At 39.6% G+C, this 19,573-nt stretch overlaps 1 protein-coding gene across 28 annotated transcripts in view; it reads right to left on the reverse strand.

Annotated features, from left to right (window-relative positions):
- The window catches only part of CPM (carboxypeptidase M), a 121,273-nt gene that overhangs the window by 70,394 nt on the left and 31,306 nt on the right, over positions 1-19,573 (reverse strand). The gene's annotated exons all lie outside the window — the stretch shown is intronic.

Below are 19,573 nucleotides of genomic sequence, written 5' to 3' on the forward strand. Positions count from 1 at the left end.
GACTTCTAAGATCACACCATGACCTATGAGCCCACTGAGTTTTGGAACTCAAACTCCAGGAGAGTTGCCTTCTCATACTGGCACACTCTACTCCTTTAACTTACTCTATTTCCCTAGAGTTTCCCCCTCAAAATTGAATGGTTTCTCACTAGACTGTGTGTACCTTTACAGCAGCTCATAATTTGTCCCTTAGAGGAAATACAGTTTGGACTGCTGATTGAGCAAGCCTCAGGGTTTTGGCAGCCTGGGATTCTGTTAATTTAGCAGATGTAAAAGCTTATTTTGTTTTCCTCCATTAATACACTTCTATCTCCATCTCCAACACACAGGGAAAAGCCTTCCCCTCTGTAGCAATGATCCCAGTGGTGAGGACTGATGTAGTTACTTGCATGACCTGATCACTTCACTCCCAGGATGCACAGGGGCTGAGGCTGCTATGGGCAGGGTCAAGTGTCCCTACACGGCACCATCATCTCCTCCCGGATGTTAAGGATGCTGGGTAGATGCTGTCCTGCCAACCAGCCTTGTTGTTGTCTAGTGTACAGTCTTCCTCCAGGGGTGCTGCAGTCTTAGCACCTGAGGTATCTCAGTCTGTGCTCACTGGAAAGTCCAAAGTTCCTGATGACCAGATTCTGCCCCCTACTGTCCCCTACCCTCTCATTCACCTTGTCCCTCAATGAAGTCTGAATCTCAGCTGTGAAGAAGGAGGCTCCTGAATACAGGCAAATCAGTAGAGGTGGTTAAGGGTTTCTGGGCATTTTGAGATAGTTGGAGTAACTCTGTCTGCCCAGAGCATAGTAAGGATGTGGGTGTGGGGAGGGCCAACAGTGGGATCTTTTGCCTAACCCAACACCCACGTGATCCACCAAGATACTCTGTTGCTTACACAAGCTCCTAGTATTTGGCTTGATATATAGAATATATTTAATATTTTCTAACAGATGCAATTTTGATCAGTTTTAGAGGGCTCAGAACCTTTGCAAAGGATCACGTGTACATCAACTAGATGTAGTTGATGGGGACTCAAGGATGGGGACTCAAACTCCTTGGCAACCCCAGAGAGCCTAGCACATTCACCTGCAGAGGGCACATCCTCGGTTTATTCTTGCAAAGGTTCCTGGTCAATGTGGCAGACTTCAGGCTACTCACTGCTGGTAGTGGAACCTTTATTCCTATAAAATCCCATGCGGAAACCCAGTGTAAAAAGTTAATCCATCTCAGCATTTGTTTTCCAGAGTATGATGGTAACAACTCCCATGAGGATGCGGGGAATTACATCAAGAGCCAGTTCCTTGACCTCAGTATGCAACAAGATATCAAAAGAATTTACAGTCACATGACCTGTGCTACAGATACACAGAATATCAAATTTGTGTTTGATGCAGCTACACAGATATTATTATCAAAGAAAACCTCAAGGACTGCGGCCTCTTCAAATCCTCACTATTCCATTCCTCAGGTATAAATGCTATAAACAGGCTTGGAATCTGGGTAATTACAAACAGAAAATTATAGTCAGTATACTATGGCCTGAAGAATGAATCCATTCTTTGGAGATGGAGTATGCATGACTGCAACTGTGTTTCACACATTCTTTTCAAAGTGGGATAGCTAGTGCAGCTTAAAGAGCACAAGGCCAGTCATTAGAAGACCTCTGCCCCGCCCCCACCCCCAGGTTCCAGTACGGGTTTTCCAATTTAGCACAAAAGTCTGTATACTTAAAAAAACTTATCACAGAGTTTTTATATAATTTAAAAGAGGAAAATGTGTAAAGAGCCTAGCACAGTGCATGGCACATAAAGGTGTTCAATAATCGGCAGTGGCATTGCTTTCATTTTCCCATTCTCTTTGCTGCTCTTGAATGGCTTGCCTAGAAAATGAGACCAGGATACGTTCCCTCTCAAGTTCCTGCTCATGCACACAGCTGTTACACACTACCTCAAATGTAAGTGGTTGTAATTAATAATAATTACAATATTCCAAAATTATGTTTAAATCTAGATGTCTGTTCCTTCATACTCTGGCAGTTTTCTTTACATTCTGAACAATTAATGTTTGTCAGTTTCTGTATTAGGTTGGCATTCATAGAATCAGCTGCTCTGATTTAAGGAATGCATCCCCAAGCGGTCCTCTGTCTCCTCACCTATTGAAGTGGCCTAGGTCACCTCCACAGAAGTCTCCAGGCTCTAGAGACCAGGCTCTAGAGACTGGAAGAACTGGGGTTTTGAATCCTGACAGACCTGGGTTTGAATTCCCAGCTCTGCTCCTTACTAGCTAAGTAGTCTCAGGCAAGTCACTTTTTTCTGAGCCTCAGTTTCCTATCTGTAAAACAGGGATAATACTACCTATTATTTAATAGGTGTCAGGATTTAAAATAATATGGATAAGTAGCTAGTACACAGTAACACATTCAATAAAGTATACAACTTTTATTACTGATCCCCAAATACCTCTTTTTATTGTGTTTTTTTCTTCTTTTTTTAGATAGCTTCCCAAGGACAGCGAACAGAATGTCCTATGGAAACATAGTTCCCATGGGGCTACAAATATTGCCAATTTTAGTGAGAAATTACGTTCCTGAGTCAAAATATTTTCCCTATGTATCACTGTTCTTTGAACAATCTATTTTTTTCTTTTAAACCACAATGACAAAAGCCTTCTAAAACTCTGTGGTTTCCAGTGAGCACAAATTAAGGGAACTTAGATGCTAAGATACATTAGAAATCGTCATCAAATTCTTATCCTTGGCTGTATGTACAAGGGAAGTCTCATCTCCTTGGCATACAAGGCTTCTTGCAGCACAGTCCCACCATGTCCTCCCTGGACTGCTCCTGCCACCCAAGCACAGCATGTGTTTTCCCAGTCGCTTTACCTGGAATTCCTACCACCTCCATCTCTCTGCCTGGTAATATCCAAACCTTTGTTCAAATGTCAGCCTCCCTGATAAGCCTTTCTCAACTTTACCAATCACCCTGTAGGCCAGCTTACAAAGCATCCCTACACTGCACTGTTGACTGTAACGAACAAAGCCCCATTACAATGCTTTTCCCATTACGGCAGTTGGGTGTAAGGCCCACTGCCCTAGTTCATAAAGGGAAAGACCTGGGTCTGTTCTTCTTTGCATCCCCTTACAAAAGTTCTGGTAGACAGTAGGAACTCAATGAATATTTGTTGAATGAATACATAAATCGCTAAAAGACACATTTGGGTTACCGAACCGAATCTATCACCTACCAAGATATCATTTTGGGACATCAATTTCTTCATCTGTAAAATCTATTTGCTCTTGCCTATAAAATGGGAATGTAAGGAACTTATCGCAGTTTTTAAATAGCTTAAAGAAGGAAAATGTGTAAAGGGCCTAGCACAGTGCATGGCAGATAAAGATGTTCAATAATCAGTAGTGGCATTGCTTTCATTTTCCCACTCTCTTTGCTCCTCTTGAATGGCTTGTCTAGAAAATGAGACCAGGTTACGTTCCCTCTCATGTTCCTGCTCACGCACACAGCTGTTACATACTGCCTCAAATATAAGTGGTTGTAATTCATAATAATTATAATATTCCAAAATTATGTTTAAATCTAGGTATCTGTTCCTTAATACTCTGGCATTTCTCTTTACATTCTGAATAATTAATGCTTGTCAGTTTCTGTATAGGTTGGCATTCATAGAATTTGTCTCCAAAATTGCTGATTAAAAAAAAAATCATTCCTTTCTGTGTGATCTGTGCTCTGTTGAAGGCAAAAAAGAAACTACATATAATCACCATTGAAACATTTCTAATAAGTTTTAGACATAAAAATAAATTCACTTGAAGGTTTAAATGAACAATTCCATTCAATTACGGCATTCAAATAAAAACTTTTCACACTGATAGCTCTCAGGGATTATTATTTTTACACACTTAATATTACATTTTGTGGCGCTCTGGTTTATTTACCCTGGTGTGTTTGTATTTTCTCACTACTTTTTGTCCCAGAAATGACTGTTGCACCAAATTTCTTAAAGAGAATCTCTGGGCTGGGCACGGTGGTGCATGCCTGTAATCCCAGCACTTTGGGAGGCTGAGGCAGGCAGATCACAAGGTCAGGAGTTCGAGACCAACCTGGACAACATGGTGAAACCCCATCTCTACTATAAATACAAAAATTAGCTGGGCATGGTGGCACACCCCTGTAATCCCAGCTACTCGGGGGCTGAGGCAGGAGAATCGCTTGAACTCAGGAAGCGGAGGTTGCAGTGAGCTGGGATCGCACCATTGCACTCCAGCCTGGGTGACAGAGCGAGACTCTTGTCTCAAAAAAAAAAAAAAAAAAAGAGAGAGAGAGAGAGAATCTCTGTTGCAATGCAAAACTAACTGTAAAATTATCAGAAATTTTTCAATCAAGAAAACAAATCTGTCATTTTCCTATCAAGCAAAAACCCTTAGGATTATATCTCCCCGTGGATGAAGCAAAACGTGTTTAACAGCCTGTATAAGGTCCTCCATAATCTACCCCACACTCACCTTCTCCTTTCTCCCCTCCAGCCACACTGAACTTCTTTTGCTCCTCAAAGTCAATATGCTCCTTCACCTCCAGGCCTTTGAACGTGCTATTTATTGCCTCGCCTTTCCCTTTTCACCTGGCTGATCTCTTATCCTTCAGGTCTCAGCCGTGAGACCTCTGTCATATTCTCGCACACAGCTAATGACATCTGCGTTTATTGGTTTGTCAACTCCTTCAGGGCAGGTGCCATGTCTAACTTATTTACCCCTATAGTCTCATGCTAGCACATGCCATGAACTATATTAGGCATTCAATAAATGTTTACTAAATAAGTGGAATGAATCTATCTGGAGAGAAATATAATTTCACTAACTATACTTTGGGATATAGAAATTAACTTTATGGCTCTCAGTTTTGACTTTCACCTGCATTCAACATTAACCATGACCTCTAGAGGAAAGAGTTAACATAGCCAGTATGTTTTACTCAGTTCTTGCTTGTCTTTGGGAACACCTGCAGTCACAGCAATGACCCTGACCCAAATCCTGAGCACTAAACTCCCTGAAATGCTTACTAATTAGTTATGTTATTTTTGTGCCCTCAAGGCAGTGGTCAAAATATATCAAGACAGTATCATTGTTTAAAGTTGACATGAAGATTCCTGATGCATCCTAGTACCTAGTTTGGGGTCTGCATCCTGGCTGGTTACATAGCTACACGACCAGCTCCCTTGACCAGCTCTGAACCCCTAAGACTTGAGTGGGCTTTCCTGGGTGGAGGCGTTTTGCATATGTCTCTGCAGTTTACAGCTGGAGAGAAACATGCATTCCTGAGAAACATGTGGAATCCCTACAGAGAGAGGACAAGAAAGCCTACTACGACTTCTCTAGTTTTGCCACCATATATCTGTATCCTGCTGTTCCTGCACCATACCCTTTGCTGTAATAAATCTTAGCCTTGAATATGATTCTATATTGAGTCGTGAGTGAGTCCTTCCAGCAAATCACTAGTAGGTGGTCATGGTACTCCCCAAAACAACTGCCTTCTTGAGCCACTCCCCTTTTTGACATCTGTGACATCACTCTTAATTTTCCTTCTACCTCATTACTGATCTTTTCCCATCTCCATTCTTGGCTCCTCTACTCTATCAGACTAACTGTGTGACGGTGCTATAGCTCGATTCTGGCCTTCTTTTCTTTATCTCTACTCTCTTGCTAGATTATTTTATTAGTCCTGCAGGTTTCAATACCATTTCTATGTTGATGACTCCCAACTTTCTTTCTGCAGCCAAACTTCTCTCTTGAGCTCCACTTATATACCCAACCGTCTCCACTGGATACCTCCTGAGGAGTTCACAATTTCTAAAGAAAATGTCTGAATCAGAGCCCTTGATTTCATCCCAAATCTGTCCTCTTCCAGTTTTGTCCATCTAACATAAGAACACTTCATACACTCAGTCGAGCACAAAACCTAAGCATCATCCTTGATTTTCCTCTTCTGCTCACACGCCTTCCTCCTCCAATCCAATCCAATCTAATCCAATCCAATCCAATCCAATCCAATCCAACCCAACCCAACCCAACCCATTAGCAAGTACTCTTGGTTTTATTTCCAAAACAGATTTCCAATCCTTTCACTTGCCTCCATTCCTAACAGAGCATCTTAATCCAAATCACCATCATCAACATTTGCCAGGACTACTGTAACTGGATTAGTCTCCCTGCTTCTATTCTGGCCATTTTCTGTATTCAGCAGCTAAAGTTATCTTTCTAAAACCCACATCAGATTGCATCACTCTCTTCTTAAAACCCTTCAATGGTTTCCCATTATTCTCAGAACAGAATTCAAACTCTCCACTTTAGAATTGGCTTAGAAGGCACTCTATGCTCTGTCCCCTGTGTACCTTCCAACTTGCTCAAAGACCACTTTCCCCTTGCTCACTGGGCTCCAGCCACCCTGGTCTCACTTCTGTTCTACTCTTTCCACCTCGAGGCCTTTGCACATCACTTGCACTTTGTGCACTTTGTAATCAGGCTATAAGATCTAGCTGACTGTCACCTTTCAGATCTCCACTTTAACCTACCATCTTTTCAGGCAGGCCTCCTGTCATTCTTTCCATACAACATTCTCTCAAACAGTAACTGCTATGTTTTAGGCACTGAAAATACAGTGACAAGTAGGATAGGCTCCATGCTTTCATGGAACCTATGTTCCACAGTAACTGTCACTCTCCATTATACTAAACTATGTATTTGCTTCATAGCAATGATCAAAATCTGAACTCGCCTTGTTTTTTGTTTGCCTCCCTCACTAGCACATGTAAGAAACATCAGAGCAGAGATGCTATTTGCTCATGACTCTGTCTCTAGCCTAACACAGTGCCTGGCACACACAGACTGGGATTTACTTCCAAGCAAGAATTATTTGACCAAAGAGCTCTCAGTGTAAAAAATGTTTGGAAGTTTCTGCAATTGACTGACATGGTGTTATGCTAGAACTGTATGCCATAGAGTTTGGAAACACATTTTGTACCCTTAGAAGTACATGTTCTTACAACTCGAAAGATGGCCAAGTCCAACTAAAAAGTTCGTCAAGGCTAGAATGTGACATTTCCCAATTTATCTTTCTGTTTCTTCATAAATTGAAAGGAACTGACAGTAACACATGACAAACCAGCTAGGCTTATCTCTACCACACTAAGATTATTCATCTGAGTCCCAAAGAGCAATGGAAAAAATTACGTGTCTGCCCCAATTGAACAATCTTTATCTGAAATTTAACTGTGCACATTTAGTATTATTAGTAAGGTGTGAATAGTTTAGATATTTGTTCCCCCAAATTTCATGCTGAAATGTCATCCCCCATGTTAGAGGTGGAGCCTGGTGGGAGACGTTTGGGTCATGGGAGTGGATCTCTCATGGCTTGGTGTTGTCCTCACAATAATGAGTGAGTTCTCACGAGATCTGGTTGTTTAAAAGCGTGTGGCACCTCCCACCCCCTCTTTCTCTTGTTTCTGCTTTCACCATGTGACGTGCCTGGTCCTGCTTCACCTTCTGCCATGAGTAAAAGCCTCCTGATGCCTCCCTAGAAACTGAGCAGATGCTGGGGCCACGCTTGTGCAGCCTGCAGAACGCTTAGCCAATTAAACCTCTTTTCTTTATAAATTACCCAGTATTTCTTTCTAGCAACCCAAGAACAGCCTAACACAAGCTGTAAATAAATCTCTCCAGTTAAACAATGGGAAAACTGCTGTAGAATCGCCACATGTTAAATGACCCTACGCTTCCCACATGTCTCTAGGTGTCTATGTTTTCATAAGAGTGACTATCCCCGTGAAAAGGATTTTAACGAGTGGGCTCAACTGAGTCACCAACAATGGACAAGGGAATAAATATTTAACAAGGACTAAAAATTAAGGTGAAACTACCTTCAACAGTTCATCTGTGTATTTCCAAAACTGTGCCCTTCTGGACCACTCACAGCAAGAATAGTTAGACATATCATCTGCCTTCACCTAAAATAAGTACAACATTTCTGAGTATAGAGGGGGGAAAAGACACTTAAAATGGAAGGGTTTCATATCTCTGCTTAAGCTTTTTTTTTCTTTTTCTTTTTCTTTTTCTTTTTTTTTTTTAGACAGAGACTCACTGTGGGCCAGGCTGGAGTACAGTGGCACAGTCTCGGCTCACTGTAACCTCCACCTCCTGGGTTCAAGTGATTCTCCCGCCTCAGACTCCAGAGTAGCTGGGATTACAGGTGTGCACCACCATGCCTGGCTAATTTTTTTTTTTTTTGCATTTTTTTAGTACACACGGGGTTTTGCCACGTTGGCCAGGCTGTTCTCAAACTCCTGGCCTTAAGCAATCGGCCTGCCTTGGCCTTCCAAAGTGCTGGGATTACAGGCCTGAGCCACTGTGCCTGGCCCCTGCTTAACTCTTGGGGGAAAAAAGGCCTTCTTCACATGATCCCTCCCACCTTTTTTCTTTGTCAAAATTCTGTGACAGACCCTTGAATTATTCCTGGACTGTTCAAATAAAGCCAGAGGCATTTATTTAAACACTTTTTTTTTTTTTTTGAGACAGAGTCTTGCTCTGTCACCCAGGCTGTAGTGCAGTGGTGTGATCTCGGCTCTCAGCTCACTGCAACCTCCACCTCCCGGGTTCAAGCGATTCTCCTGCCTCAGCCTCCCAGGTAGCTGGAATTACAGGCACCTGCCACCATGCCCGGCTAATTTTTGTAATTTTAGTAGAGATGGGGTTTCACCATGTTGGCCAGGCTGGTCTTGCACTCCTGGCCTCAAGTGATCCACCCGCCTCAGCCTCCCAAAGTGCTGGAGTTACAGGTGTGAACCACCGCAACCAGCCTAAACACTTCTTAATGAAGGCAGGGGTGAGTGTGATGGTGGTGAACCTCCTATAATTACTCTTTTCTTATTACATGTTTGGTCAGTGTTTTAGGGGGCTGAAGGCAAGGGGTGGGGGTAGACCCATTTTAGGCTAGCCAGTGAATAATTCAACTGTGTCCTTTACTGCCTGAAAGTCCGTAACTTCTCTGAGGCCTTCTCCTACATGCCAGTGACTTATCTTGAACTGGGGCATAATTGTGGTCCCCCAATTCTACCTCTCTAAGTTATCATATTATTTACTACTAATATAAAACTAATTTTAACAAAAAGTTCATAAGAAAACAATGTCATTTTCTTGAGGGACTGAAGAACTTACATACAATATAGGTAACTATATAAAAGTGTATAAAGTTACATATAATATATGTAACAATATAAAAGTATATTTAAAAATGTACATCCTATATACTTATGTATTATTTAATATACTACATACAATATATTTGCATTCATATGTTTCATTTAATAAGCACATAATAACTCTTAATCTTTGTCCTTGAGAGTATCTGTTACATGTAATAAGCACATCTTAGTGCCTAGGATACAAAGCTGAACAAAGCCTGGTCCTTGGCCTCTATGTGAACATAGAGTTACTGGAAGATGCTCAAGAGGAGAAGAGGTGTGGAAGGAGATTCTGACTCTGCCCAGGGAATAGAAAAAGGCTTCCTGGAGGAAGCAACATTTTGAACTAAGTTTCAATTAACGTAATGAATGATCAAATGGTCTCTAACATTTATTCGTGCTCTAAAAACATGATGTTATGCTAAATTTCACCTGCCTGTATTTGTATATGTGCGTGTGTATTATGTGGGAAAGGAGGCTTAGTTATGTGTTTGAATAACTGTCAATTCATGATACTTTAGTTGTGATTTTTAAGTGTGGTTCTAGTTTTCACGGATTTGCATCAGAATAATTTAAAAACTGGATAAGCAACTAATTGAAAGTTCTTTAAACAAACAGAAGGATTACTTAATTGGCTTCTCCTGAATTCTGTGATAGACTAAAGACTGGGGTAGTAGGCACTATCATTACTGCCTTTGTATCCCCACTGTCAAGGTAGTTATCTTCAACTCCGGGTAAGTGCGTGATAACTCTGTGAAGCCAGCTCCAAGGCAATTTGTTTGAAGTTGGCAGCATTTTTTTTTTTTTTTTTTTGATGCAGTGGAGATTAAGCCCTCCAGTTGAGCTTGACAAAGGTATGTATGTGAAAGGTCACAGATAGAAAATGTGTATTTTTAAAACCTGTGACATGCAGCAGTCCTCAGAAAACAGAGATGAGAAACATTTTTAATGTGCATTTTGTGTCTTTTATTTTAACACAAATTCAAATTAGGACTTACTAACCTCTTCACAAACTACTATACAGTATTACATTTAATTGCTAGGAAGAATGTCAATTGTTTTAAATCACTAGACAGAAGTGTTTTTTGTTTGTTGTTTGTTTGTTTTAAAGAGACAGACTCTTGCTGTGTTGCCCAGGCTGGAGTGCAGTGGCTGTTCACAGGTGCGATCATAGTGCAGTACAGCCTCAAACTCCTGGGTTCAAGTGATTCTCCTGTGTAAACCTCCCAAGTAGCTGGGACTACAGGACCAAGCCTAGCTCCAAACAGGAAGATTTGACTAAATTTGACTTAGTCTCCTTCCCTTAACCCAAATGCATGTTGGTATTTGATATAGAGTGTGTGTGTGTGTGTGTGTGTGTGTGTGTGTGTGTGTGTGTGTGTGTGTGTGTTTTGAGTAATTTCACTTTAAGGTTTTCTTTTGTTTTTTTTTTTACATCTTACTTTCTTACTTTGCATTCTTAGAGAAAGGGGTGTTCTAAACACACAAACTGAAAGGAGGAATCAGGACTAATGGCAGTTATCACATCTCAAATGTAGATACTGCTGTAACCACAGTGTTACCGTCAGATACACACGTTCAGGGATTAAGAACAGAAACTAAGCACCTTTTGGATGCTGGCCACATGAGCTTCAAGTGGGTCCTTAACAGCTCTCTTTGTGCTTTTACACCAATAGTTCTTAACTCTATCAGATGATGCCTCTTGCTTTCATATCCAATATTTTGCAACTTCTATTTTATCATGCTGGCATACAATTCTAACACATTTACATACATAATTTCAAAAGATCAATATAGTGTTCAAACTATATAAAGCAGAAATAAAAAAAGAATGCAATTTACATAAGATATGGTATCCATATGCAATAACTTGGGTACTCCACTAGAAGACAAAGAAATCACATGCTTGTATCTATACTTGAGAGTCACCGTGAACATATAGATTACAAATGCAGATTGGTTTGGCTCTTTGTTCACTGTTGTCAGGATTCTCTGAATATGAAATATCTCTCAGTCACGTTAAGAGCAAAACAAAATATAATTTCCCCTCAATTTACATATAGTGGCATCCCTGAAAAGTTCAGTATATATTAAAACTGTTGGGGGGAAATATTTTGTATTTGTATACAAAAAAGATTTTGGTTTTAGGCTCAGATAATTGTAAGCTCATCTTACCCTATGGAGGACATTAGAAAATTGTGGGCGGAGGGGACAGTGGCTCATTCCTTTAATCCTAGAGCTACGGGAGGCTGAGGCAGGAGGATCACTTGAGCTCAGGAGTTCGAGACCAGCCTGGGCTACATAGTGAGACACCTGTCTCTACTTAAAAAAAAAAAAAAAAAAAACCTAAAATTGTGGGGAATAATGTAAGCATGACAAGATAAGTGATAGGAAGGGCGCAGTGGCTCACGCCTGTAATCCCAGCACTTTGGGAGGCTGAGATGGGCAGATTATGAGGTCAGGAGTTCGAGACCAGCCTGGCCAACATGGTAAAACCCTGTCTCTACCAAAAATTAGCCAGGCGCAATGGTGGGTGCCTGTAACCCTAGCTACTCAGGAGGTTGAGGCAGGAGCATTGCTTGAACCCAGGAGGCGGAGTGAGCCGACATTGTGACACTGCACTCCAGCATGGGCGACAGAGCGAGACTCCATATAGAAAAAAAAAAAAGGCAATGTCTTTAAGAAACCCTGAATGTTTCAAGAATAAGAATAAGGCTGATAGCTGATAAATGTCTCAGAAAGGTACTCTGCGTATTATGTTAAAGGGGAAAGGCTTACTAAACCCATATAACTTTAAATCACAAACATGTATATTATAGCTGAATTTCCTAGATTTTAGTGGTTTTCTTCATATTCATCCTCAATATGTCAGTATTTGCATCACAATAGGCATTTTATACAGGATCTCAAGCAAACTGGTTTTACGAGCATATTTGGGAAATGAGCAGAGTGTGACGGATGACCAAGTGTTGTGCCAAAATTTTATATACAATGCTGTTTTCTGAGGGTAAATCACCGGCTAAAATCTATCCAGTTGAGGGCAAGTGATCATGAGAGATCTGTGTATGTGAACATAGTACTTTCCTCTTAGGAGCAAGAATCTTAACCAATGTTAGGGAGATTTCTGAACATCTGAAATGGTATAGGACTCCTAGTAGAGGAATTCAGTGAATGTCTGTTAATGATGGGAAGGTGAGAGTTCTTAGGGAAAGGGGCAAGAGAAATAAATTCTCCCTCATACTTACAACATAACAATGAGAAATACATACTACAATCATCTTTCAAAGCACTAATGACAGTATTGATTTATGACTAGTGTAAGTTTTAGAAGAGTTGTTTTATTTTTCTTAATATGCATTTCCCAAGAAATTATAAATCAACACAATCTTTTTGGAAGGCAATTTGGTATATATATCAAATACTTAAAACAGCTTTAGACTTAGTAATTTCCTTTTTGGGTATGTATTAATAATAATAATAATAGCAGCTTTTACATAGCACTTACTATGTGCCAGGAATTATTCTAAAGACCCATGGTCACGTAGCTACAAAACTGAGAATCCGGAATTTGAACTTGGGCAGGTGATTCCAAAGCCTGTGCTCAGATTTTTGCTGTCTTAGCTACAAGGATGTTCACTACAGCATTGATCATAACAGCGAAAGTTTAGAAACAAACTAAATATTCACCAGTGGGGCATAAGTTAAACAATAAAATATCTATTGACAGGACACAAAACAGAAATTAAAAATCAAGTTTTAGAGATAACATGTTTGCATGGACAAACAAAATAAGATATTTGACTCAGGGGGGTAAAAAGGCTCAAAACTGTGTAGTATGATTGCAGTCTACTAAATGTTTCCTTTGGATGGTGAGATTTTAATTTTCTTTTTGGTGCTTTGTTGTATGATCCAAATTTTCTAAATGAACTAGAATTCCTTTTGTACGCAGGAAAAAATTAATAATAACAAATTGCACTCTATAGCAGCACAGTCCGATCAAAATATAATGCAAGTCATATATATAATTTTAATCTTCTGCTAGTTACAATAATGTAAAAAGAAACAGGTGAAATTAATTTTTATTTATATATTTATTTATTTTTGAGATGGGGGTCTCACCCTATCACCCAGGTTAGAGTGCAGTGGCACAATTACAATCTTGGTTCACTGCAACCTCCACCTCCCAAGCTCAAGCAATCCTCCCACCTCAGCCTCCCAAGTAGCTGGGATGACAGGCATATGCCACCATGCGCAGCTAATTTTTTGTATTTTTGGTAGAGATGGGGTTTTGCCATGTTGCCCCAGCGGGTCTCAAACTCCTGAGCTCGGGCGATCCACCTGCCTCAGCCTCCCAAAGTGCTGGGATTACAGGTGTGAGCCACTGCTTTTGGCCTTGAAATTAATTTAAAAAAATATTTCTTATTTAACATATCTAAAATATTATCATTTCAACATGTAATCAATATAAAACATTATTAGTGAAATATTTTCCTTTTTTGTATTAAGTCTTCAAAGTCACTTTCTAGCACACCTCAGTTTGGTCTAGTCATATTTCAACTCCTCAATTGCTTAGTGGCTAATGGCTACTGAATTGAACAGCTCTAGATCCTTGGTAGAGCTATACCTTCAGGTCAAATGTGCCCAAACCATGGTCCTAAAACCCTCTACTAATGACCTCAACTTCCATGGAATCATCCCCATCTGTGTCAAGCTGCTTTTTATTTTTATTTATTTATTTTATTTTATTATTATTATACTTTAAGTTTTAGGGTACATGTGCACAATGTGCAGGTTAGTTACATATGTATACATGTGCCATGCTGGTGTGCTGCACCCATTAACTCGTCATTTAGCATTAGGTATATCTCCTAATGCTATCCCTCCCCGCTCCCCCAACCCCACAACAGTCCCCAGAGTGTGATGTTCCCCTTCCTGTGTCCAATGTGTTCTCATTGTTCAATTCCCACCTATGAGTGAGAATATGTGGTGTTTGGTTTTTTGTTCTTGCGATAGTTTACTGAGAATGATGATTTCCAATTTCATCCATGTCCCTACAAAGGACATGAACTCATCATTCTTTGTGGCTGCATAGTATTCTATGGTGTATATGTGCCACATTTTCTTAATCCAGTCTATCGTTGTTGGACATTTGGGTTGGTTCCAAGTATTTGCTATTGTGAATAGTGCCGCAATAAACATACATGTGCATGTGTCTTTATACCAGCATGATTTATAGTCCTTTGGGTATATACCCAGTAATGGGATGGCTGGGTCAAATGGTATTTCTAGTTCTAGATCCCTGAGGAATCGCCACACTGACTTCCACAATGGTTGAACTAGTTTACAGTCCCACCAACAGTGTAAAAGTGTTCCTATTTCTCCACATCCTCTCCAGCACCTGTTGTTTCCTGACTTTTTAATGATCGCCATTCTAACTGGTGTGAGATGGTATCTCATTGTGGTTTTGATTTGCATTTCTCTGATGGCCAGTGATGGTGAGCATTTTTTCATGTGTTTTTTGGCTGCATAAATGTCTTCTTTTGAGAAGTGTCTGTTCATGTCCTTCACCCACTTCTCGATGGGGTTGTCTGTTTTTTTCTTGTAAATTTGTTTGAGTTCATTGTAGATTCTGGATATTAGCCCTTTGTCAGATGAGTAGGTTGCGAAAATTTTCTCCCATTTTGGAGGTTGCCTGTTCACTCTGATGGTAGTTTCTTTTGCTGTGCAGAAGCTCTTTAGTTTAATTAGATCCCATTTGTCAATTTTGGCTTTTGTTGCCATTGCTTTTGGTGTTTTAGACATGAAGTCCTTGCCCGTGCCTATGTCCTGAATGGTAATGCCTAGGTTTTCTTCTAGGGTTTTTATGGTTTTAGGTCTAACGTTTAAGTCTTACACCAGTAACAGACAAACAGAGAGCCAAATCATGAGTGAACTCCCATTCACAATTGCTTCAAAGAGAATAAAATACCTAGGAATCCAACTTACAAGGGACATGAAGGGCCTCTTCAAGGAGAACTACAAACCACTGCTCAATGAAATAAAAGAGGATACAAACAAATGGAAGAACAATTCCATGCTCATGGGTAGGAAGAATCAATATCGTGAAAATGGCCATACTGCCCAAGGTAATTTATAGATTCAATGCCATCCCCATCAAGCCACCAATGACTTTCTTCACAGAATTGGAAAAAACTACTTTAAAGTTCATATGGAACCAAAAAAGAGCCCGCATTGCCAAGTCAGTCCTAAGCCAAAAGAGCAAAGCTGGAGGCATCATGCTACCTGACTTCAAACTATACTACGAGGCTACAGTAACCAAAACAGCATGGTACTGGTACCAAAGCAGAGATATAAATCAATGGAACAGAACAGAGACCTCAGAAATAACGCCGCATATCTACAACTATCTGATCTTTGACAAACCTGAGAAAAACAAGCAATGGGGAAAGGATTCCCTATTCAATAAATGGTGCTGGGAAAACTGGCTAGCCATATGTAGAAAGCTGAAACTGGATCCCTTCCTTACACCTTATACAAAAATTAATTCAAGATGGATTAAAGACTTAAATGTCAAGCTGCTTTTTAAAAGAGAATAGAGAGGTGCTTGGGAAATAGGCAGATCTGAGTTTGAATCTTCTAATACTTAGCTATGTTATCTTCAGCAAGTTAATTAACCTCTCTGTGCCTCATTTTACCTGTTTTGTAAATGAGGATAAGGCCTACTTTGAGTTGCTGAGATCGAAATAATGTCTTAAACTATTTACTACATGGAAAGTACTTGATAACAGAGACTACTAAATTTGGCTGGCTTTAAAAAATCTCTAATAGTATTATCACTAGTAAGGAAGGTGTTATTATCCCGCCTACTGTATTCAGATACAATGATGATCAGACTTAGCAGGAGGCAAGACAAGATACTTTTTTTTTTTTTTTGAGACAGGGTCTTGCTCTGTAGGCCAGGCTGGAGTACGGTGGCACGATCATGGCCCACTGCAGCCTTGAACTCCCAGGCTCAAGTGATTCTCCTGCCTCAGTTTCCCAAGTAGCTGGGACCACAGGCATGCACCATTATGCCTGGTTAATTAAATTTTTTTTTTTTTTTTTAAGAAATGGAGTCTCCCATGTTGCCTAGGCTGGTCTCCTGAAGTGCTGGGATTATAGACGTGAGCCACCACACCCAGTCAATGCAAGATTCTTAAAATAGATGGTAGGAAATCTCATTTAAAATGGCCCTTTGGGGTTTTGTATGTAGCAGAGCAGTTCTTTCATTGCTATCTATTGATAGTCAACCCTCAACACAAGGGTTCATTTTTTAAAAAAATAATAAAATGTTCCTAAACTAATTTTGGGGTGTGTGTGGAGAGACTACCCTGAGAAATTCACAGTAAATACATTTGTATTTGAAAATGAGCTACCTAATGGCAGGGAATGAATGACACACACGTTTGTTTGCTTCCCATGCCTTTTGCTCAGCAAATATTTGATCCATTAAATAAATAGATATAGATTATTGATTATGTGCCAGGCATCCTTCTAGACAAAGGGGTTGGGGCAAAAAATGGGAGGTGCTTCCTTAATTGAACGGAGGATTGAACGAACGAACTGATGAACACTGTACCTTTTCTGATTTTTCTGAACTAAGTCATCAGTACTTTTTTGCTTCTCTTGTTTCACCTAAGATTTTCTTTACTATGTCACTAGGCAGTGGGATTTCCTTCAAAAGGCTCAACTGAAATATGGTCTACTATGGCTGAAGCTGGGTATAGATGTGTTTAACTTTTGTGTGGATTTTAAAAGTTTCAAAATAAAAACGTTTTTAAAAATCACCAATAATAATAGAAGGTAATTATCATGACATGTATCAATGGTTTTATAGTATCCCTGTTTATAACAGAGTTAACCAAAAACTATACAGATGCTCAAAGAGGTGAATGACTAAGAAAATTCACATAATCAAGAGGATAGAATACTAAACAGCAACGAATTCACATCTACCGACTTTGTCAATTCATGGAAATATCTAAGGAAATAACATGAAATGAAAAAACAAGCAGAATATAATCCACAATTACAACAAAGAAAATATGTGATATGCATATATTTACATAGGCATAGCACATATATTTAAGTTTTTACAAAAACTAAACATGTATTTAGTTACTTAGGAATATTACTTTCCCTTCTGGGTAAGACTGCCCACGTTAATACATGTAATATAAATAAATAAATAAATAACACGTGTATAATAAATTCTGTTTATTTTCTTTTATTTTGAGATAGAGTTTCACTCTTGTCACCCAGGCTGGAGTGCAGTGGCATGATCTTGGCCCACTGCAACCTCTGCCTCCTGGGTTCACGCTATTCTCCGGTCTCAGCCTCTCTAGTAGCGGGAACCACAGGTGCACACCACCATGTCTGGTTAATTTTTTGTATTTTTAGTAGAGACAACGTTTCACCATGTTGGCCAGGCTGGTCTCAAATTCCTGACCTCAGGTGATCCTCCCGCCTCGGCCTCCCAAGGTGCTGGGATTACAGGCATGAGTCACTGGGCCTGGTCATAAATTCTGTTTTCTAAGCAAACTTATCTTACATCAGAGGGCAGAATGGTTAGGGAAAATATCTAGTGAAAAAGACCACCAACAAAGGAGCACCATCTCTCAATTGTCACACTAATGTGCAGTGACACTTTGGCAACTGACTCCCAGTTACTGGCATACAGTTTCATCTACCAGTTGGAGCCAAATGGCAGATTTGGGATTTTTCTTAATCCGAGTTATTATTCAGAACAACATATTCAACACAAATATTTAACCACTAGTGTCAGATTTTATTTTTACATGATAACTCCTCAAGCCTTTAACCGCAAGAGTGCATACAAGGTAAAATTAAAAACAAAATTAAGCCTGCTGACTTTCACTGTGATTGTGGTTTGATATCATGCAGGATAGATCACAACTGCTGATTCATATTAGGAAAGAGAGCCCCCAACTGTCACAAGCACATTGTGTTTGAAAATACAAAACCTTACCAAATCACTTAGTACTTAAAATTAACAACATCCTCATCATCTTGTGGTTGAAATGATGACTGAACAATAACTCAAGCTAGTTGTGTTCTATATATTTTTAATTAATATAATTAGTATTCCTAGATCTTTTTAAATTGCTCTACTCTAGCCCTAGGGAAAAATGATTTCAGAAGGCTGAATACGTATGCTGATTCAAGATATGATTTCTCACACACCCAACCTCTATAATTTTGGATTATAGAGCAATATAGAGTAATTCTGGCACCATCTCTTTGGCAATGCTGTTTAAAAACAAAGTTACTATTACACACAGCCCAGGATATTGACTTCGCATTGCACATAAATACATTTATATAATACTTTTTCTTTAATATAGAAGCCATAGCCTTGATTTTTTTGAAAAATGATGAAGAATATGGTAATTATGAGACTCTCAATTGACTCAAAAGTTCAGAGCTAAAATCAAGGTAGAGTTTGAACACACCTTACAAAAAGTTGAGATCCAAATTGCATAAAATTTATGAAACTTTTGATTTAAGGACTAAGTTTTCTGGTAACCTCTTTGGGAACATCAGGATAATAAAAGATGATTAAGTAATAATGGTATCTCGGCCGGGCACGGTGGCTCATACCTGTAATCCTAGCACTTTGGGAGGCCGAAGCAGGAGGATCACAAGGTCAGGAGTTTGAGACCAGCCTGGCCAATATGGTGAAACCCCATCTCTACTAAAAATACAAAAAAATTAGCCAGCTGTGGTGGCGCATTCCTGTAATCCCAGCTACTCGGGAGACTGAGGCAGGAGAATTGCTTGAACTCAGGAAGCCGGAGGTTGCAGTGAGCCGAGATCACGCCACTGCACTCCAGCCTGGGCAACAGAGCGAGACTCTGACCAAAAAAAAAAAAAAAAAAAAAAGAAAGAAAGAAAGAAAGAAAGAAAGATGAAATAACGATATCTGATCAAATTATTTGCCTTGGCCGGATGGGTGCCAGTCCTGGCTATAAAATTCACCATCTGGGAGACCTTGAACAAATTATTTAATTTATCTGATTCAAACTTGCTGTCTATAAAAATGAAAATAACTTTATGTAGTTTCTAACTTAGAACAATAAATTATTAATGATAAATATGAAAATGCTGGGAAGAGTTTCAATCACTACTAATATATATTCATTATCTAGCATTGTCTTCTTCAAATGGATACATTTTAAAAACAGCCTTTAATCATAGAACCACTTTTTTGCATAACTTTAAGCCATAGGGCTAATTATACACGACACAAATCTAACCAACAGAACTGTACTACTTAGAT

This window comes from Homo sapiens, chromosome 12 (assembly GCF_000001405.40).
Source record: "Homo sapiens chromosome 12, GRCh38.p14 Primary Assembly".
Taxonomy (NCBI): Eukaryota; Metazoa; Chordata; class Mammalia; order Primates; family Hominidae; genus Homo; species Homo sapiens.